Genomic DNA, 21,790 nt, shown 5'->3' on the forward strand with positions numbered 1-21,790 from the left:
CCAGCTACTCGAGAGGCTGAGGCAGGAGAGTCTCTTGAGCCTGCGAGGTGAAGGTTGTGGTGAGGCGAGATGGTGCCACTGCACTCTAGCCTGGGCAACACGAGTGAAACTCCATCTCAAAAAAATAAAAAATAGAAAAAGTAAAAAGAAACAAGTGCAATGAATAGTAATAATATCTTTCATTTAATTCAATATATCCAAGATATTATCATTTCTACAAGTAAGTGATATAGTATTAGCAAGATATTTTATATATATATATATAATATTTACATGAGGTCTTTGAAATCTAATGTGTATTTCACACTTATAGCACTTCTCAAGTCACACCAGCCCTGTTTCAAGTACCTGATAGCTCCATGCAGCCAGTGGCTCCTGTATCGGGCAGTGCAGAGCTAGAAGGTGAGAGGGCAGGCTCTGGGGCAAGATGCCTGTCTTTGTATCCCAGCTGTGCCACTGACTAGCTGTGTGATATTGGTGGAGTTCCCTCATCTCTCTTGGGCTTGATTTTCTTCATCTATAGAATGGGGACAATAATAATTTCCTCTCATAGGGTTGTTTCAAGGAATCAATGCATTTTTTTTTAAGATAAAACATTTTGCTTTATTTTTCATTTGCCACATGCATATCTTGACTGTTTACACAGTTATCATTCAATGTAGATACACAATTAATTGCTAAGAGAGAAATTAAATGCATTGCTGATGAATTTATTTTATTTACTTCATTCCAATAAGAAAAGCCACCATTCTTGAGGGGCTCACGGTTCTTTTCCATTTTCCTAACCCTTGAGTATACAGGGAGTAATCATACCTACACTGTCTCTGTTTCAAAAGGTGGTCGTAGATCTCAGCCAGGTAAAAATTTGAGATTTGACAATATTCCAAGTGTAAAGGGTTTTGATTTGGAAATAGGTTCTGTATTAAAAATGGCATAAATGATTATTTTTCTTCTTTATGCTGCAGCACTTTAACTTGTAATTTCTTTTTTTTTTAATTATTATACTTTAAGTTTTAGGGTACACGTTCACAATGTGCAGGTTAGTTACATATGTATACATGTGCCATGCTGGTGCGCTGCACCCACTAACTCGTATCAATGCATTAATACGTATAAATGTTGAGAATAATATCCGGTACATAGTAAGCATTGAATATATGTGAGCTCTATACACATGAAGAAACAGGCTCAGAGAAATCTATGTGATTTCAGAGCCCGCATGCAAAACCACTCCCCTCGCTTGCCTTAAAGCCTTATATTTTAGGAACTCCTTATTGGAGTGCTGGTAAACCAGTTCTAGAGGGGTGGGGAGAAACTTTCATTTGTAGTGCCTGCCAATTCCCCTGGTGAAAATACTCATGGCTGATTTCAAGCTACTGATACTTTAACAAGTGGCTTGCAAAGTTTCTGAAATATTAACAATCGGCTCTCAGGAAGTCCGTAAGAGCTGGCTCCAACACACAATGGCCTCTACTCATCAGATTAGTCTTACTGGCTCTAACTATCTTTGCTTCTGGTGTAATGTTTTCTTTTTGTACTTTGTAAATCTGCAAGGATTGCCCAAAGGACCTAGCACGGGGTAGCAAGCACCCTGCAGTTGCCCATTGAATACTTGTTGATTGATGCTGAAGCCAAGAAGACTCAGGCCTCCCTGCTGTCCTGCCGACACTCTTGTGAGTGAGGACGATGGACGTGGCTTGCCAGGCCATGGGGAATCCAGGACCAGAAATCACCATTTTGGCCTCCAGTCCCAGACTTTTCGAATCTGTAGGCTCAAATCTCCAAATTGTCACCTGCTAATTACTAAACTGGGGTGAGGATTAGCTTTTGGACTTGGGCTGGGAATGAATGTGTTTGTAACTAATTTCATTTCCTAAGATGATGAGTCAGGCCTTCTCTCTCACCACTACACCTTGGCACCAGGAGGCGAACATCTACAGCTTCTCAAGGGGCCTGATTGAAGTCTCGGGAAGGCCTGGCCTAGTATACAGTACTGATTTTTTTCTCTCCCCATGTTTTCCTTGTTCCCGCTACGATCCTGAGTGCACTGGTTGAGACTGGTAAGGAAATGAATAACACTGCCTTTTGTAGCAGAGCACAGTAAAATCATGACAGTGGAGCTTCTGAGAGCTATTGATTATGTAAGGAATACTTTAGGGGGAGGTGTTCTACTGAAGGCAATAGTTGTCCAATACATCTTCACTCTGAACTCCCACTACGCCTACCTGTATTTCTGTTTTTTTTGAGACAGAGTCTCACTCTGTCATCCAGGCTGGAGTGCAGTGGTGCGATCTCTGCTCACTGCAAGCTCTGCCTCCTGGGTTCACGCCATTCTCCTGCCTCAGCCTCCTAAGTAGCTGGGACTACAGGCACCCGCCACCCCGCCTGGCTAATTTTTTTTGGTATTTTTTAGTAGAGACGGGGTTTCACCTTGTTAGCCAGGATGGTCTCGATCTCCTGACCTCGTGATCCACCCGCCCCAGCCTCCCAAAGTGCTGGGATTACAGGCATGAGCCACCATGCCCGGCCCGCCTACCTGTATTTCTTAGTCAATTTTCCAGCTTAGTTACATCTACCATTTACTGAGTTCTGACTACACATCTCATTTTATGTCATTCAGTTTTCCCAGGAGTTCTATTCGGTAGATACTAAAATAGGGTCCATTTAACATATGGCAACCTGAAGCTTAGAAAGGATAAGTAACGAGGGTCACACAACTACTGTATGGTAGACACTTCCATATGCTGCCTAGCAGGGGCTGAGATGAAAATGAGAAAACCAGGCCGGGCACAGTGACTCACACCTGTAATCCCAGCAATTTGGGAGGCCAGGGCGGGAGTTCAAGACTCCTGAGGTCGGGAGTTCAAGACCAGCCTGGCCAACATGGTGCAACCCCGTCTCTACCAAAAATACAAAAAATTAGCCAGGCATGGTGGCGGGCACCTGTAACCCCAGCTACTTGAGAGGCTGAGGCAGGGGAATCGCGTGAACCCGGGGGCGCAGATTGTAGTGAGCCAAGATCGCGTCAGCGCACTCCAGCCTGGGCAACAAGAGCAAAACTCCATCTCAAAAACAAACAAACAAACAAAAAACCACCACCACAACAAAGAACAAACAAACAAAAAAAACAAGAAAACCAATAAAGTGGCTGTGGCTTCTAGACATGGGAAGTGCAATGCATTGGAGGGAATTCTGGTCTGGGCCCTTCTCATGGTAATGCGGGGGAAGATTCTGCTCTCTCTGAGGCAGAATCACAAAAGTGGCTCAGTCAATACCCTTTTGTTTGTCCTTCACTCATTCATTCATGCATTCATTCATCTAGGTTTTGAAAATCTCCTCTGTCCCAGCAGCAGGTATACACCACATCAAATAAGACAGATCCCCTGCTGTCAAGAATCTTCATAACAATGGCGGCAATAGACTCCGCTGCAGATATCCAGAGCACATGATGTTACATTTAACGCTGGAGGATTCTCATGTAGAAAGTGAGAGGGAGAGAGGTGTCGGGGAAGGCTTCTTGGAGGGGTTGAAATCTGAATTAAGTGTTTAGAGATGCATTGGATTTAACTAGGTTGTGGGAGAAGGAATGGTGAGGGAGCGGACAACCTGAAAAACAGCATGAGGGGAGAGACAACTTGATGTAGGTGCAGAACCTCATGCCATTTAGCCTTACTGGAAGATCAAGTAGGAGCAGGAAGCAGTGGGAGGCTGTCTGGTGGGACAGGAAGGCCTGGTGGAGAGTCATGGGCTACAATGTGCACTGCACTCTACTGGTCACTGGGAGTCCTGGAGGGTCCCAGCAGGTGGGTGGGGTGCTTGGCTTTATGGTTGGCTGTGCCGTGGAGGGTGGATTTGACAGGGTTGGAGACCAGTCAAGAAGCTGCCAAGCTCTAGGGACAGATAATAAAGACCTGAATCAGGGCAGGAGCCAGTGGTAAGGAGAGGAGGCACGGATTTAAGAAAGATTGAGGACATAAAATCAGAAATGTGCAGATGTCTGAGAGCAGGAGATGGGGTAGGAGAGAGGGAGCAGACAAGAAGGTCTGGCCAGGGGCGGTGGCTCATGCCTACAATCCTAGCACTTTGGGAGGCCAAGGCGGGAGGATTGCTTGAGCCCAGGAGTTTGAGACCAGCTTGGGCAACATGGTGAGACCTCTTCTCTACAAAACATAAAAAAATTTAGCAGGGTGTGGTGGCATAGGCCTGTGGTTCCAGCAACTTGGAAGGCTGAATGGGGAGGATCACTTAAGCCTGGGAGATCAAGGCTGCAGTGAGCTCTGTTCCCACCACTGCATTCAAGCCTGAGAGACAGAGTGAGACTGTCTCAAAAAATAAATAAATAAATTTTAGGGGTATCCCCAGCCTAGTTGGAGAGCTCAGGAGCAGGGCCTTATGGTTTCTGTGGAGAAAGCTTGAGAGCGAGGCGAGTGCTGGGCATTGCTACGACTTGGTTTCTACAGAGGTTTGCTTCCTCTTTGCCCTCGGATATAAGCTGCTGTTCTCTCCCTACCTGCCTGGGGAATGGCTCTTGCTCTGTAATTGGAGGGATCTCTTCTGCATTGGGTTCTCTGCTGTGGCCTGCAGCTGTGGGGATGGCAGATGGCAGAAATTCTTTTTGGAGAGAAGAGTCACTTGTGGATTGGGGTATTCCCATCATTGGAGGGACATACGGACACAGTGACAGAACTCTTCTGGGTTTTCTCCCTTAGCTAACAAGACACCTAAGATCCCCTCTTTGGTTGACTTCATTCATGGGTAAATGAATGTTTCCAAACTAGAAACAAGATTGACTTGGAGTTCTGTCTCCATCATGCTCCTATTCATTCATTTACAGTCTTGCGGCACTGTTCTGTTTCCCTCATGAGGAGAGGGAAAGGAGTCCTGGGTTTTTAAGCGTTAGGACGTTTGTGTCCAGCTTCAAGCCCTCCCCTCTGGCTCAGTCCCCAGGTTCTGAGTCCTGTGAAGCCTCCCTTTTTGTCTGTGCAGCCAGCACCTTTGGCTGGATTCTATTTTAAGGCTGTAAGTGAGGTAATTGGGTATGACAACACAAACACAGCTGTAATTATGAAGTGCCAGCCTCCAAAGCAGAGAAGTCATCTGGCCCTCAAGGGTTGCCAGCATACGACTCGGTGATACGTGCGCGCCTCTGCCAGGCCGGGCCAGAACATCCACCTGCAACGTGGAGTCCACTGTGTATAGCATGTTCTGCGCCAGATCAAATAATCATTGGGGCAATTCAGTTCCTGTGTCTACGTGAGGCTTGAATATTGAGTTGTTGTTGCCAGCCCCGCTAGCCAGAGCAGTGATTCAGGAAAGTAAATGCTGGACCACCAATGGATGGGCCAATTGAACAAAGTGGGCCAGGTCTTTTCTCTGATGGAAACACCAACTGCCCTGGTGGAGCCTCTTAAGCCGTGTTTAGGTGTCCCTAAAGCATCTGCAATGCAATCAGTTCAGCTTCTGGGCTTTGCACAGACCGAATGCCTGCGTAATCTCCACTCCAGATGCAAGTGCTTTGTCTAGGGGAGGACAGGGAGATAAAAATTGCAGTTTTATTTGACTTGTCCCAAAGCCTTGGATCTTTGTATTTTCAGTTTAAAAATAACCGAGTTACACCCTTTGCTTATAGGTGCTTCTTTGTTTTTTTTGGCGGGGAGGGGTTTGAGGGAGGTTGCTAAAACAGGGACATGGTGTGAGTAGAAATTTAGATGGAACACATTCTAGATGGTCCCACCTACCTCTCAGGCTTTTAAATTTTACTAATGATGCTACCAATTTCTTCCTCAAAATTATCCCCGTTCTCTTCAGACAACAAACATCCACTGGTGTCTACCATGCACAAACCACAGTAGGGCAAACGTAGGTGGTGGCAGTGCCCTCAGAGATTACAGTTTTTTCCTTCGTTAGCAAAAGGAACTGCCAATCAGTTTCCGTAGAGGCCAAACTAGAAGGGCGTGCCAGGGCAGATGTTGTGACTTCCTTATTTGCTAAAGAAGGCAGGCAACAGACCTGGAGAAAAGATGCAAAATGATTTCTTTGAGAAGCCTCTTTGGGTATGAAAAGCTCTGGGGAGAAGGTGGTGTAATGTACACAGGGACTCCCAGAGCATTCTGGGAAGGGAGGGCAGGGCATTCACTTCATCAGTCAGGATCTACAAGCTTCCACCATTTTAACAAATGACCCCGAAGTTCCAAGGGCTTACAACAAGAATCAGTAGAGGTTTATTTTTCATGCATGCAATGTATTCATCCTGGGTTGGCTATGGCTTTCCTCCATGTTGTCCTCATTCTGGGACCTGGGCTAATGCAGCAGCTTCTATATGAAGCACTGCTTGGTCATCATGGCAGAGGGAAAAAGGGTCAAGTAAACCATGCTCTGGCTCTCATAATTTCTGCTCAGAAGTGACACACATTCCACATTTCCATCCCCCCTGCCCCCAACCCATTTTAATGGCTAAAGTAAGTCACAGGGCAGTTTCTGAGTCCAGCAGGGCAGGGATGTATACTTCTGCCACAGCATGGAAAGCTGGCATCATTGGTGAACAGGAATACAATCTACTATAGGCATTTACACCCTCCCCTGTGATTCAGAACTAGGGAGATCTGTTGTGAATGGGCATCTGATTGGCTCCAACTGTGGCCAGTGGCAGAGACAGGCAACTGGATCCCCAGAATGAAGTTACTAGGAGGTTTGAGGTGGTTAGACTGATGGATACTTAGACAGGGAGAGCTGATAAATCCACCTGACTGAGGCAGGAGAGAAGGGAGAAATGGTTCTGGATCTGTGAGGTACTTGCTGAACCCCATCCCGATCCAGGTCTCTTGGGGTCTGCTCACCCAGGGAAGTAGCTGAAAGAGTCCTTGTGGGAAGGGGCTTAGATCTTTAGCGTAGTTTTCTTGACTGAGCATAGCCCTGGAGGGTCACTACTGTGGCTTCCAGGGAGTATGTTGTCTATCTTGACTACATACCCAGCTACCAGCCTGCTGCTGTTGTTGGCAGAGCTGGATAGGGATGAATAAGTTTTGATCCCTCTCTGACTTCTCATTTCCTTTGCATTTTTTCCTCCCATTTCCTATCTATCTTACCTACTGGTAAGAATGCAGGTACTTTTGGATATATAAAAGCAAAGGAGTTGGAATTTTGTAAAATACAGAATTAAATAAAAATATAGGATTTCCGGCTGCTACCAGCTTTTGAAGGCTCAAACCTTGCATCTGGGACCTGCTTGAAGTATGCTGTTTACGCTGCAAACTATAAAGAGGGACATCTCTGTTACATAAACATGGATAAGTCACAGTTCCTCAAAAAATTAAGACCTCGAGGGCTAGAAGTATAATTTGGAAAAAACCTCAAAATCATAGCAATATTTGCTCAGATGTTAAGTATGAGAGACAAACAAACCCTCTGTACTAATTGACTGAGATGTTGGGGATGTTTGTTGCAGCACCTAGCCTGCCCTGACTAATACACTGTGTCTGTGTGTGGTGGGAGTTGGGTCAGAGAGGTGGAGTTGGTGGGGCAACAGAAAGGAGTGATTCCAGAAGGAATTTTCCAGAATGGAACGTTCCCTGAGGTAAGCATCTTGGCTGCTGTCTGGCTGGATTACATAGAAGGAGAGGACTTCGTGCAGCCTGTAGTGAGGGAGTGGTTGGTGTCTTGGCAAGTTAATCCCACCTTCTTGCCTGAACTCTTGCCAAATGGGATTCGATGAATGGATGTGAACATATGCTGTGATTTGCAATAAGAGGCTGGCGGGCTTGTGCCCAGAGCCAGTGGGTGCCTGGACTGGGGACTCAGGAGAAATAGTCAGGGAGGAGTTGGAAACTCCTGTTCCTGCTCCCGGCAGGCTTCGGGAAGACGGGCTAGTTATGCAGAGAATTTCCTGCCTTTGCAGTTCTTCTTGCCAATAACCACAGCTTAGCAAATTCACCTCCTGGCCACTTTTGGTGAATTTTTAAAAAATATCTCAGAAACTCTTTTTAGGTTTGCCTTTAAAATTTAAATCCAGTCTAGGACTGGGTCATTTCCGAATCAGATTTTGGGTAAATAACTGACAACTGGCTTATTTTCATCCACGACGAAAATGGAAGAAACTCCTTTTCTTTTCCTCTTAATTTAGAAATGCCGGGGAAAGAATTTGTTCTTGAAAGAACAAGAGGTGGGTGGAGGGCGGGGAGAGGTTAGAAAAAAATACCCTGGTTTTCAGATGACGCCTCCAGAGCCCTGGCTGGCCGGGGCTGATTGGGGTGGGTGAGGCTGTCAGGAGCTGATTCTACACAGTGTTGTCATTTTAAGAAAAGGGCGAGACCAGCTTAGGGAAAGGAAGGGAAAGGAGTCAAGCATAATGACAGACAAGCACCACCCCTGCCTGTTGTGAGGATGAGAGATTGGCAGCTCAGGGACTACCACTGCTCATTAGGATCCCAGGGAGGAATTTCATTCCCTACCTTGGTAAAGCCAAGTGGGTGGGGTGAGGGAGGTTCGGGTCTTGATGTGAAGGATCTGGAGAAAATAATGGTGCATTAGGCCAGCTGGAGAGCAGATAAGGTCTTCCTGGGCTATATGTGGGGTAAGGTGAGGAACCAATAGTACCTAAAGGTGGGATACAGGAATCTGAATGGCTTGAGTATAAAGGCTGTTTAGTTGTAACAGCTACATCTGTGTGTCCTCTCCCCATTCCCCCATCCCCTTTTCTTTTTTCTGTGAACTCATAAAGAGCCTTGGAGATCGGCAGACAGGAGACCAAGTAGGAAAAGGGATAGAAGAGGAGGGGAGAGGAGAAGAGAGATCAGGGCTGAGCCAAGAGGGATGAGAGAAGACAGAGAGGGGATGGGATGGAATCTGTGTGCCTCACCGCCCTGTCCATAGTATTTTTGGTTGCAGTCTTAGGTGTGATGAGGGTAGGACTTCAGTGTTTGGATGGTATACACCATTGGCTGAAAAGTGAAATAACAGGCACTAGAACTTAGAGAAATCATGCTTAGATTTATTCTGAGCCACACTTGAAGACGGAAGCCCAGGAACACAGACTCAGTATAGACTAAGAATGTGTCTCTAAGTGGGTTACAGGAGGCACAGTATAGATACATTTCCTAATGAGGGATAGGCGTGGCACAGAAGGTGGGAGAAAGGAGGAGGGAAGCAGTAGTTGAATTTTTGTGATTCTGATTGGTGCTCGGTGACACTGTCCATAAGATAAGGTAAATATATGGTGGAGCGGGTAGGAGAAAGGTTAGGTGCCTTAGGGTCTGGTGGAGGGCAACTCTTTGCATCCTGTCTTTGTTCTACAGCTGATAAACAGGTTTATAACCAGTACCTGTCAGTGAAGTATGTAACAAACTCCAGTTACACAGGCAAGAAGTCAGCTTTAGTTTACAGGCCTAGGTTTTATTACCTACATGTCTGACTACAGCCATCGTGGGCCATTGTGCAAATTTTCTTTTGAATTTTCCTTTTTTTAGACATCATACAAGATGTTAGGTGCCACAATAATGGTGACTCCAACCTTTGGCTTTGGGAGTTCAGTCCTTGTGGCTGAATGAATATTTGTTGAACAAATCTTAAGGCAAAGTTTTTTTTTAAATAAATATATCATTAAAATGATTGTTTCCAATCTTTTATTTTCATGTCCAGGAAGAGTATAAAAGACCCTTTGTCTGGGTTAAATAGAAGACTGACGGTGTGATGGAGTGTGTACTGCAGTTCGGCTCACCAGGTATGGTATAGACTCATTAGAGTTAGCATTAGACGAAATGAAAATCTGAATACAATGGGTGGTAGGAATTCACTGCAGGATCTGAAAATTCTGAGAAATGCTTTGGAGGCCTGGTAAATAGTCCATTGTGGGCTTCATTCTTTCCCACCTATCTCAAGAAAGAAACCACCGTTGCTTTCCATGGAAGAAAAAAGGATTGAAATGAAGTAGTTATATTTATTTACATTCCACCATTTCTTCTGGTCACTCCCAAGTTGCTTCCAGTGCGCAGAACAGGAGAGCATCTTTCATTTGGAAATAGGTGCCATCTTGTGAAGAGATATGAGTATGTTTTTTGTGCTTGAATAAGTTCTCTAGTCTTTGTCGGTGAATTTATAGAGGCAGGGGTTGTTTCTACATGGAAACAACCACTCTCTGTATTACAGTTCAGAGAAAATTTTAGAATTCATGCAAGCAGGTGCTTAACAGCAGCTCTTAGAGAAGACATTGAATTAGAGGATTTCATGTCTGAAAAGATCTTTGAGGTAATTTAATAAATACTTCTTTCTATCTCAACTTCTGGGAGCTTTGGAGAATGACTTTTATTAGAGTTTGTTTGAAGGGGAATTAAAATAGGCACATGTTTTGAGACAAATTAACAAAAAATTATCCCTATCCAATTCATATCTTTAGGATAAATATATTACAATAACCAAAAACTGAAAATAATCAAAATATCCATCAACAGAACAATGGATAAACAGAATGTGATATATTTATACAGTGAAATACTACACAGCAATCAAAAAGGACAAATTACTGACACAATGTGGATGAACCCCAAATACATTATATTGAAGAAAACAATATGAGGTTGATAATAAGAAGTTCAAGAACAGGCAAAACTAATTTATGGTGACAGAAGTAGAAAAAAACCTGGTTATTTCTTGAAGTGGCTATCAACTGAAATAGGGTTCGAGGACACTTTCTAGAACAATGGGAACGTTTTATATCTTCATCTGGGAACATGATTCTTGGGTATATACATATATAAAAGTCATTAAGCGGTGTACTTAAGATTTGCACATTTTACTTAATGTAAATCATACCAACCCTGCCGCCTCCAGAAAAACCCCCAACATCCCAAGCAATGAAAACATACAGAGTGGGAAATATTTGTCTGATTTGGAACTTTTATTGTTGATAAGTTCAGTGAAGCACATTTGATAGAAGTTCCCCTTGACTAGCAGTTTAAATAACTTGGGCATATTACTTAATGTCTCTGGGTTGTTTTTCTTTCTTTCTTTCTTTCTTTCTTTCTTTCTTTCTTTCTTTCTTTCTTTCTTTCTTTCTTTCTTTCTCTCTCTCTCTCTCTCTCTCTCTCTCTCTTTCTTTCTTTCTTTCTTTCTTTCTTTCTTTCTTTCTCTCTTTCTTTCACAGCAGTTCATTTGTTCATCACACACAGGATCTGCTACCTAAGGTGGCACTGGTGTAGCAGGGGAGAGGACACGAAGATACTCCAGTTGCCATCCTTGATGCATTTCTGCCAAGACAGAGAGCCCAATAACACCAAACTCAGTGTCACTGCCAAGACCAGCCCTGCCCTCATCTCCAGCCCTGCCCTAGTCTCCCTTTTTCTGCCTTTCTGGTTACAGCAGCACCACAGCAGCATTGAAGAGGCCTCTGTTCAGGCCCAGGCAGGAGCGCGTCTTGTGGGGACCTGGCTTCCCCTGGTCTCTGTAGCTGCTCTTGTCCTCCAGCCGGCTGGCTCAGAAAAGCTCTTTCTGTTTGGTGACTAAGCCTGAAGCCACGGCGGGGGAGAGAGAGAGAGTGTGAGAATTTGAGGGCACCAGATCCCTACCCAGTCCCCAGAGCCTAAAATATGTGGCCAAGAATTGAAGTTTTTTGTCCTCAGGGAGAAAAATGACGAAGGTCCTCCCTGAGGCAGCCCCACAGACAGATAAAGAGACACTACTCCTCCCCGGCCCAGCCCACCAGCCTACACCACAGGGACAGCACAGTGTCTCCCCACCCTGTCCTTGCCACAGGCCCCCCAAAGGGAGAAAAGTGGCATTTGTGGTTTGGACCTAGTCACAGGAACAGCATCCGGGTAATTTTCCATCTCTTCATTGACTCAAAGGCTTCCTCCGGACACAGGGAGGCAGAGCAGTTAAGTAGTTCCTGTTTGCTGATGAGAAAACTCCAAAGATGGAAGTGTCCTAACTCAGGGTCCTCGGGCAGAGGTCATGCTTGCCCTTCCTGAGTGAGACTCCAGATCAACACAGGAAACTAGTTTATCTCCTTGACCTGGAGTGGAGTAAACAGTCTTTGGCCAAGGCATTCTCCTCTCGGAAGCAGGGTTCAGTGAAAGCATAAATATTGGCCCAAGAAGACCATAGCTTCTTAGGCTAGAATGGATTTAGAGATCAGAGACTCTACATCTATTTTATAGATGAGGAAACTTAAGCCAAGTGAGGCGAAGTAACTTGCTTAGGAGCAAAAGCCAATCAATGACACAACTATGAAAAGAACAAAAGTGATCAAGTCGGCTCAAATTCCAGAGATGACCAGACAGAGCTGACTACATCATATTTTATCCCACTAGATGAGGGTTCTCAACCTCAGCACTGTTGACTTTTGGGGCTAGATAATTCCTTGTTGTGGGACCGTCCTATGCACTGTGGGATGTTTAACAGCATCCCTCGCTTCTACCCACTAGAAGCCAGTAGCATCCCTCACCCCAGCTGTGTCAATCAAAAATGTCTGCAGACACTGCTAAACGTCCCAGGGTGGGGGTGGGGGGCACAAAATTGGCCCTGGTTGAGAGTTGCTGTGACAGAGAGCCCACTCTTTTAGTTCAACACTGAGAGATACATTGGGATGCATTATTATTTGTGGACCTGTCTCATGCATCAGTCTGCAGTTCTTTGAGGGTCCAGACAGGGTTTTATTGACCTTTATGTTTCCTGTGTCTTGCATAGTACCTGACATGTGAGAGATGCAATTAATGGGTTTGCGTGAATGAATGAATGGACAAACTCACTGGGAGACCCTGGGATGTAAACTTTCATTCACTATTATCCAGTATTATATAAGCACATTGGCCAGGTGTAGCCTGGCAGGAGATGCGGGAGGATGACTCGACTCATATGACTTTCTATCTGGGGGACAGGAGGGATTCCTGTTTATCTACTTTGTCATCCACTATCATGGCACCACAGAAGGCATTTTTTGAGCTCCCTTCCCTGGGCTCCAGGCTTAATTATGTGGCTTATTTTCATTCTTATAAAACAATAGAAATAGCTACTACATGGTAGAAATTTTTTTTTCCCACTGGGGATGTAGCCAGCACTTTGGAATGTTAAGCCTCAAGACTCTTACAGTTAGAAGAGAAAGTCCCCCAAACATAGCCATTAGCAGCCATGAGAGCCATGGGAGAATATTGATCATAGAGTCATAGAATTTTGGCATTGGGAAAAGTCACAAGTAAAATATAAAAGGCAGCCTCTCTACCACAAAATCCTATCATATTGTTTTTCTTAATCCCAGAAATTTTCACCAATGTTGACTTTGGGGAAATGATTAAATAATTTTGTGTCTGTTTTCCTGAAGATGAAATGCTTCAGAGGGTAGAGTCTTCATTTGTTTAAAAGAAAAAAAAAGTGTCTTCAGAGGACCTTGTATGCTAGATTATAAAATACAAATTCCAGTGCATCTTGAAAGGGTGGGTGTACTTTGAGCAGAACAAAAATGGAAGAGACTGAGTGAGAGAAAAAAAATACAGGCTATCAGTTAGATAGATATTACCAGAGAATCAGTTTAAGAATAAAAGGATGGGCTGACTTTTCATGAACTTTACTGGTCGATTAATTCAAATGGACAAATTGTTTGGAAAGAGAACACAGTTAAAACAGCAATCAGCACAAAAAAAGGAGTAAAGACTTGCCAGTGAGAGGGAAGAATAATTGTGTTAGAAGCACGACTGGGGCCGGGCGCGGTGGCTCACACCTGTAATCCCAGCACTTTGGGAGGCCAAGGCGGGCGGATCATGAGGTCAGGAGTTCGAGACCAACCTGGCCAATATGGTGAAACCCCTTCTCTACTAAAAATACAAAAATTAGCTGGGTGTGGTGGCGCTTGCCAGTAGTCCCGGCTACTCACGAGGCTGAGGCAGAAGAATTGCTTGAATCCGGAGGCAGAGGTTGCAGTCAGCTGAGATCGTGCCACTGTACTCCAGCCTAGGCAACACAGTAAGACTCCATCTCAAAAAAAAAAAAAAAAGAAAAAAAAAAAAAAGAAGCACAACTGGGTGGTATTGGGTTCATGTTACTTTAAAAGTGAATTTTACCAAGTGCATGAAGGACTCAGCATAAAGCCCACATGTTGGTCTTCACTGCGTCAGAATTAGTATGATTGCTTTTCAGCCTATTGGGGAGGGATGGAGATTGGGCAGAAATATGATGTGATGGTGTTGCCAGATTTAGCACATAAAAATACAGGATACCCAGTTAAATGAGAATTTAAAATGAACAATGAATGACTGCTTAGTATAAGCATATCCCAAATATTGCATGGGATATACTTATATACTGAAAAATTATTTACTGTTCATCTGAAATTCAGATTTAACTGGGCATCCTGTGTTTTATCTGGCAATTCCTTCTTGAGACTCTCAAAGAAGCCAACATGCTGAAACCCCATCTCTACTAAAAATACAAAAATTAGCTGGGCATGGTGGCACATGCCTATAGTCCTAGCTACTTGGGAGGCTGAGGCAGGAGAAACGCTTGAACCTGGGAGGCTGAGGTTGCAATGAGCTGAGATGGCACCACTGCACTCCAGCCTGATGACACAGTGAGACTCTGTCTCAAAAAAAAAAAAAAAAAAAATAGTAGTGAGGTTGATGGTGTTGGGCTGCCGTATTTCTCTTTTCTTCTTTTTTCTTTTCTCTTCTCCTCTCCTCTTCTCTCCTTTTCCTTCCTTCCTTCCTTCCTTCCTCCTTCCTTCCTTCCTTCTTTCCTTCCTTCCTTTCTCTCTCTCTCTTTCTTTCTTTCTCTTTCTCTCTTTCTTTCTGTTTTTTTTTTGATAGCATCTTGTTCTGTTGCCCAGGATGAAGTGCAGTGGTGCAATCATGGGTCAGTGAGGCCTCTACCTCCTGAGCTCAAGTGATCCTCCCACCTCAGCCTCCTGAGTAGCTGAAATTATACGCGTGCGCCACCACACCTGGCATTATTTTTGTAGAGACGAGGACTCACCATATTGCCTAGGCTGGTCTCAGGCTCCTGGGCTCAAGTGATCCTCCTGCCTCAGCCTCCCAAAGTGCTGGTATTATAGGTGTGAGCCACCATGCCCAGCCTTCTGCCTTATTTCAAATGGAAGATGCCTGCCCAAGCCTGCTTCTCTCATACCTTTTCTTATCTGTCTGTAGTTTCTCAAAGAGTCAGGAAATCCAATTGCCTTTGAGAAGCCTAGGCAGCCAAGGAAGGAGAGAGAAGTTTCATAGGTCATTGCTGTAAGAAATTTCTTTCTCCTGTTCCCTTTTGTCTTGCTCCAGCAAGAGGAACAGCACCCTCTTTAAGGATTTAAGGACGGAAGGAAATTTGGGTAGATAAAGCCGGCACACACCGTAGCTCGTGTCCTGGGGAGATAATGGCTCTGAACCTGCTAAAATAAATGGTCTGCTTTGTTCTTGAATAATAATCAGTTGGCAGCTTTGTTCTGTCTTCCCAGCAGCTGGATGAGATTTTGATTTCAGAGGAAAAAGAGCGACCTAGGGCTGACCATATTGGACAGAGGGAGAAAGGAAATTTACAACAGCCTCCCGTGTGTGGTGAGAGAGCCCCTTGCTGTAAGGTACTGCCTGCCCCACCCACCACCTGTCATAATGCCTAAAGTTCTGCCATTAAGTCTTAAGGTTAATGACCTTCTTCTTTATTTATTTATTTATTTATATTTATTTTTGAGATGGAGTCTTGCTGTTGCCCAGGCTGGAGTGCAGTGGCACGATCTCAGCTCACTGCAACCTCTGCCTCCTGGGTTCAAGCGATTCTCCTGCCTCAGCTTCCCGAGTAGATGGGATTACAAGCACGTGCCACCACGCTCGACTAATTTTTTTGTATTTTTAGTAGAGACGGGATTTCAACGTGTTAGCCAGGATGGTCTTGATCTCCTGACCTCGTGATCCGCCCACCTTGGCCTCCCATAATGCTGGGATTACAGGCATGAGCCACCATGCCCGGCCCCTGACCTTCTCTTAAAAAATAAAACAAAACAAAACAAAAAACAAATATTCTGGAGAAACACAACATATTAAGTTATTACCCCTTTAGAATAAAATTGTTCGTTGGAGTTTTTCTAACCCCACATTTGGCTGAAAGCAGTCTTGAAGTTATTGGATCCTAGGACAGGTGATTTTTATAGGTGCTGAGTGACCGAGAGGTTGATCACATAGAGAGATAATATAAAGGAAGCCCAGAAATAGAAGGATCTGGATAGTTCAGGAAAATGGAAGAAGTGGGAGACTAGCTGGAGCTACCCATGCAATTTTCCACTGAGAATGAATCATGTTGCCTCTGTCCTCCTAGAAGTTCTCTGAGTCCCAACGTTTTCCCTCTGCTTCATTTGTCCAGCTGACTGAATGTTTCTAATTCAGGTAACAGCACAATTTGGGGCATGATGAAACTAGTTGCAAAATTCTCTAGATCATGGCGTGAATAAAGGTTAGAGGTTCCAGGACCATAGCCTATTGCCAACTGTCCTTGAAATGTGTCCTCTAGGTTTTAAAGGGCAAAGGATGTGTAGCTTTCCCCCTCCATGTGACAAAAGTACCTGATTCAGTGACAATATGGACTTTAGAATCAGAAAACCAGGGGGCAAGCCCTAGTTTCTTTCCTTGTCAAGTGGAATGGCATCAAACAAGCATGATTGTTTCCTGCTCTGCAAGACAGGAGTAAAAATCCTGGTTTGTCTCTTTCATAGGGAGGTCAGGCTGGGCTTTACCCAGTTGTCAATAAGTAGAGTTTGCTGATTGTGACCACAGCTGTGGATGGAGAGCGTCAATTTCCTAATCAAAGGGAAGCCCATTCGGTGGCTCTGCCTCTATCGTCCCTGGTGAGGGCAGTGGTCTCTAAAGCAGCACCTTGAATGTAAGAGCTGCTAATCAAAGAACAAGTGACATAAATTAGTCCAAATGAACAAATGGTGAAGGCCTTCTTATCTCTACTTCAGCTCATCCCAGGACGTGGGATGCTGTGGTCCAGCCAGGATGTTCACAGGGATTATCCATTCTGGGACATCACATTATCACTAAGTGTACCCAAGGGCGTGGGATGGGTACCAGTTAGTCAAAGTTTCATTAAATAAGCCCTTTCTGTGGGAAAGGACATGAGAACTTGGACACCATTGTTTGTCTCTAGCACTGATCTTCCTAGAAACTCTTCTTTGCTACTAGAAAGTATCTTTTCATTTTCTGGTTAAAAAACAACAACAACAACAACAAAAAAAACTACCAGTGTAAAATATCATTGGCTATCTCCAAAATGATCAAATGAAGGTGACTATCTAGATGATTCAGGTAAATTTGGTGGATTTGGGTATCCTATGCATTGATATGGGGGATGTAAATGGACAGAAAAAACGACGGGTAATATTCATTGAAAGCCTCTGTGTGCCAGACCCTGCACGGAGTGGCTACACATATTACTGCATTTAATTCTCATAACAACCCCCTGGGGTAAGTACTATTACACCCACTTTACAGATGAGGAAAGTGAGGTTCAGGGAAGTCAAGGAACATTCCTATGCAGTTAGGAAGTAGCAGGGCTGAGACTGAAAACCAGCAATATTTGATTCCGAAGCTCATCCTCTTAACCCCCACGCAATTATTTACCTCTTTACCTTGTCTTCCTATCTTGTAATTTCCAATCAATCTATCAGGAAACGTATCCCTCTTGCCCTTGAATTACCCGTGTTTTCTTTCTGCTCTTGGGCAACCCTGTGTTAAACTCCAGAGCGAGCCTCTGCCACACTGGAAGGAGATTGGCATTTGGTGTTGAGCTGTGGCCCATGCAGGCTTGTGAGCAGACTGGGCACCCTCTCTGGCAATGACTAAGGGTGCTGCAGATGCCCCTGCAATCCTTAGGGTGGGGACATGGAAGGCAGAGCTTAAAGGGCCAGGGATGAGATGCCCTGTCACCATGAGGCTCTTCCTGAAGCTGGCAGGGGTCCTGCCCCCACAATGTCAGAGCTGTCCCCTGAGCCCCAACTCCACAGGTCATCCAGGGGCAGAGCTGAAGTTTCTCTTCTCACTTTCCCCTTCTTCAAAGTGGGCAAACTGATGTGATACCAAGGGACAAAAGGATGAGGAAATGTATTTTGCCAGTTGTTTCGAAAACCTCAGAATCCAGCCCGTGCCTCCTCAGTGCAAGCCCTCTTGTAGAGGCACTCCTGGCTGCCACTCCTCGTCTTTCTCAAATCAGCACCACATCTCTGGGAGGCCATCCCTGAAGAACCAGGCTGGCTTAAAGTGCCCTCCCTCTGTGCATTCTGCTGTTTGCATGCATTATGAGTGCAAGAATGCCATTAGTGCATTTAGACCAATTTACTTGTCATTCTCTCTCTGCCTAGACTGGATGCTCTCCCGGGGTTGGGAATACCTCAATATTAGCCCTTAACAAATACTTTGTGCATTTTGATGATCTGAGCTAATAAGGTGAACTGAAGAAAAAAATCATTATCCACTTCTAAGGGTGGCGGTGGCTATTGTATTTTGGCTGTTTGTTTTAAATACCCAACTCTTCCACCTTTTAAGCAGAACTGTTCTTCGGAATTTTTAGATGTCTTAGGAAGTTTCCTTGCCTCATTCAGATTACTGGGTCATGATTTAGTGTTCCAGGGAATTCCAGGGGAAAAAAAATCATTTTCCTTCTGTAAACCCTAATGTCCACTGCTCTGATAAAGGATCCCAGCTGTGACAAGGAGATTATTTACTTGAAACTAATGAGCAGAGCTAATTACTGCAGTGGACTTGGGCAGGGACAGAGTGGGACAGAGTGTACCAGAGCAGGCTGCTGGCAACCGTTCCAACCCTCCAGCTGGCAGCTGAGCCAGGAGCCCCCAGACATGTCAGCGCCTTTTGGTCTTCCAATTGCCTGTTCAATAGCAAACAGATTTTAAGATCATGGTTTGGGGCTCAATTGTCTGACAGGAGCCAAGAATGAATTTCTGTGGCTTGTTCTTTTCCTCACTGGTTCCAATTTTTGTAAAATATATAAGAATTAAAGTCTGACTTTTTTGAGGGTGTGGGATTTGGGATCCACCCCTCCCTTCCACAGCTTTATTTCTCACAACTCCTACATGATTCCTCTCCTCGAGAGCAGGAAACCTCTTTCTCACCCCTCACTCACAAATGCCTGGTTCCTAGGGCTGAGGCTTCTCTAGGCGAGAATATTCTCTCTGCCTGGAGTCTGAGCCACGTAAGCTCAAGCTCTCCTGCCAACAAGTTGTGCCACTGACGCTACCTCATGATATTCATGCCTTTATTTGGCATTCTGAGCTGTGTTTGTACCAGATTCCAAATCGCATTATAACCCAGGTAACAAACCTGCCCATGTACCCCCTGAATCTAAAAATAAAAGTTAAAAAAATCTAATTATAATTAACTACATGGGACATCCAAATTCTTTCCTATTGTGGGATTTTGTTAAACTGGGACCTGAGAGGAGGCCATAGTGGTATGAGGTGAAAATGAAGAGTTCATGTTCTATAAAGGGCTGAATTCAGCACCTGGCACCAGTTATGTACCTTTTTTAGACATTTCATTTCAGTACGCCTCTTTAGAGCATAGACTGTGAAGCCCAGTCCTGTTTTCTATGCTGTATGAGACAAACACACACACATGCATTAACCACGATCTGTGCTCTCAAAAGCTCTGCACTACAGTGGGGAGTGGCAAGACACACAGGCATAGAAGGTAGGAGAGTTCTAAGGTGATGCAGGGGCTGCAGGAGAGAGACGGCGTGGAGAGCGGGCCAAGGAGTGCCAGGATTCAGTGAGCAAAGGCCAGCTATGGGTGACGTGAGCTGGAAAAGGCTTAATGAGGAAGAATGGTTGAAAAATATAGGCTCTGTTTTGCCAGAGACTATTGGAGAAGGGACTCTGGGCATGAGAAAGGGTGTGTGGAAGCCCAGAGATGGTTACTATGGCAACAAAGGATGCCAGGACCACTGAGGTGCAGGTTCTGATGGGCATTGGTAAGGTCTGTAGGAGATGAGGGGATGATGGCACCTGGGGATGCATCATTAGGGAAACTCTCAGGGGCCTGAGCAAGGATAACTTCATGAGAAGGGTTAGCAGATGGCCAGCATTTCGACATCTGCGTAAGGAAAACACTGGTTTTCCTTGAAAGTATGGTGTAAGAAGCATCTCCCAGCTTAAGCTAGAAGCAGGCAGAGGAAGGGAGCCTCTGTGTTGGAGAAACATGTGACCAAAGTGTGCCCTGGAAAATGGCAGGCAGCTAAGGTGACAGTGGAAGAAAGAGGTGAAAATGGCCCACAACAAAGGCAAGTTAGCACCAAGAATTGGAGCTTCACAGGACAAACCACAGGGGTTGTTGTGGGAAGCTCTGGCACGAACGAAAGTGGGCACCTAGTTTTTGTTTGTTTGTTTGTATTGAATTAGTAAACACACTCTGCGCTTTGAATCCTTAAGGACAAATAAGGTATTGTCATGGATCTAAGTTCTTGAATTTTTTCAAAAAAACTTAGAGATTCTTATTCCATACAACTGAGTCAAGTGATAGGTCAAAATAAAGGGGAAAAAAGTTGAGGAATCAGTACAAAAATAGGACCCCTATATTTTAAATATTTTAACTTAAGACATCAAATGTACATTTATCTCCTAATATTTTAATATTGAGTCTAGGCTTTTTCTTTGACCACAGGTATGCTGATTTGAGCTCCTTCTCTTCTTTCTTGTATGAGCCACATTCATAATGGATCCAATAATGGCCACAAATAAATCCTTTGCAACTCCTCACAATGAGAGGTGGAGTCCAATTTTTCTTTGCTTGAATCTGGGCTGGCTTTTTTCTTGACCAGTAAAATGCAGTGGGAGTGACATTCTGAAATTTCCGTGGCTGGGGTTGAAACTCTTCTCTGGGTTCCTTGGAATCCTTGCTGAGAACCCTGAATTACCATGCAGGAAGTTTACTACTTGGAGTTCACATGCTTAAAAGGTTACATATTGGTGCCAGCTGATCTCAGCCTCCCAGCCATCCCCATCAAGGCATCAAGGTGCAAGACATGAGTGAGGCCATCCTGGGCCCTCATCCTGGAAGCAGCCTAGCCCATCCACTATCAAATGACCTTTGCTGATACCATATGGAGCAGAAAAATTGAATGGCTGAGCCCTGTGTGAATTCCTAATTCACAAAATGGTGAGATATAATAAAATGGTGGTTTTATTATATTCATATATATTTATTCTTAACATTGGTTTTAAGCTACCAATGTTTAGAATAGTCTGCTATGTTACAGATGCCTGGAACTTTGTTGTAGAGAAGGCTGGGCACATGTTAACAGAGCTGAGAGAGACCTAGAGGTCAGTTATTTCAACTCCCTGATTTGCACATAAGAATTCTGAATATTGTCAGAGGCCTCCAGAAACTGAGCACAAAATGCAGCAATCACATAGAAGGTGCTGGAGCTTCCTTACTTCAGCTTTACCTCCCCTGCCCTTGATGGTGAAGCGTCTCTTGTGTTTACCTTTCCTGGATAACCCCACTGGAAATGTGCCCTAAGCAGAGTAAGATGTATGGATGGTCAACCATGTCATCTTGTCCATGTGAAGTTGTTCCAAAAATCTATTTTTTAGGGACAGTGTCTGTCTGCCTCCCAGGGCCACAGAAGCTCTCTTAGGTCTAGGACTGCATTTTCTGTTTGTCTGGCTTCACTCCTCTTTCCATTCCTTCTAGAGAGCCTACTACAGAGAGGGTCCCTCTACCCCACTGGGGGCAGCATCCCAGCCTAAACAAGGAGATTCTTAGTCTATACACTCGTAGACAATCCTATGACAGGCCCGGTTCCATAAGCCTGTGAC

At 44.6% G+C, this 21,790-nt stretch overlaps 1 long non-coding RNA gene across 3 annotated transcripts, besides 2 other annotated features; it reads left to right on the forward strand.

Annotated features, from left to right (window-relative positions):
* Positions 2,448-3,363: an enhancer, noted in NCBI's record as "OCT4-NANOG-H3K27ac-H3K4me1 hESC enhancer chr7:135437647-135438562 (GRCh37/hg19 assembly coordinates)". NCBI's record gives its function as "activates a minimal SCP1, AML or CMV promoter by ChIP-STARR-seq in naive H9 embryonic stem cells {active_cell/tissue: H9 hESC(naive)}" and the evidence as "EXISTENCE:reporter gene assay evidence [ECO:0000049][PMID:30033119]".
* Positions 3,364-4,279: an enhancer, noted in NCBI's record as "OCT4-NANOG-H3K27ac-H3K4me1 hESC enhancer chr7:135438563-135439478 (GRCh37/hg19 assembly coordinates)". NCBI's record gives its function as "activates a minimal SCP1, AML or CMV promoter by ChIP-STARR-seq in naive H9 embryonic stem cells {active_cell/tissue: H9 hESC(naive)}" and the evidence as "EXISTENCE:reporter gene assay evidence [ECO:0000049][PMID:30033119]".
* Positions 8,072-20,728, forward strand: LOC105375522 (uncharacterized). 3 transcript variants are annotated; one of them, XR_001745032.2, is made up of 3 exons: positions 8,072-8,158; positions 9,634-9,715; positions 20,634-20,728. It is a non-coding gene; the product is annotated as an uncharacterized LOC105375522 (long non-coding RNA). The 3 variants fall into 3 exon arrangements; XR_928023.3 differs by lacking the exon at positions 8,072-8,158 and adding an exon at positions 8,313-8,451; XR_007060543.1 differs by lacking the exons at positions 8,072-8,158; positions 20,634-20,728 and adding exons at positions 8,313-8,451; positions 15,406-15,531.
* The last annotated feature ends 1,062 nt before the right edge of the window (positions 20,729-21,790 follow it).

Source organism: Homo sapiens, chromosome 7, assembly GCF_000001405.40.
Source record: "Homo sapiens chromosome 7, GRCh38.p14 Primary Assembly".
NCBI lineage: Eukaryota > Metazoa > Chordata > Mammalia > Primates > Hominidae > Homo > Homo sapiens.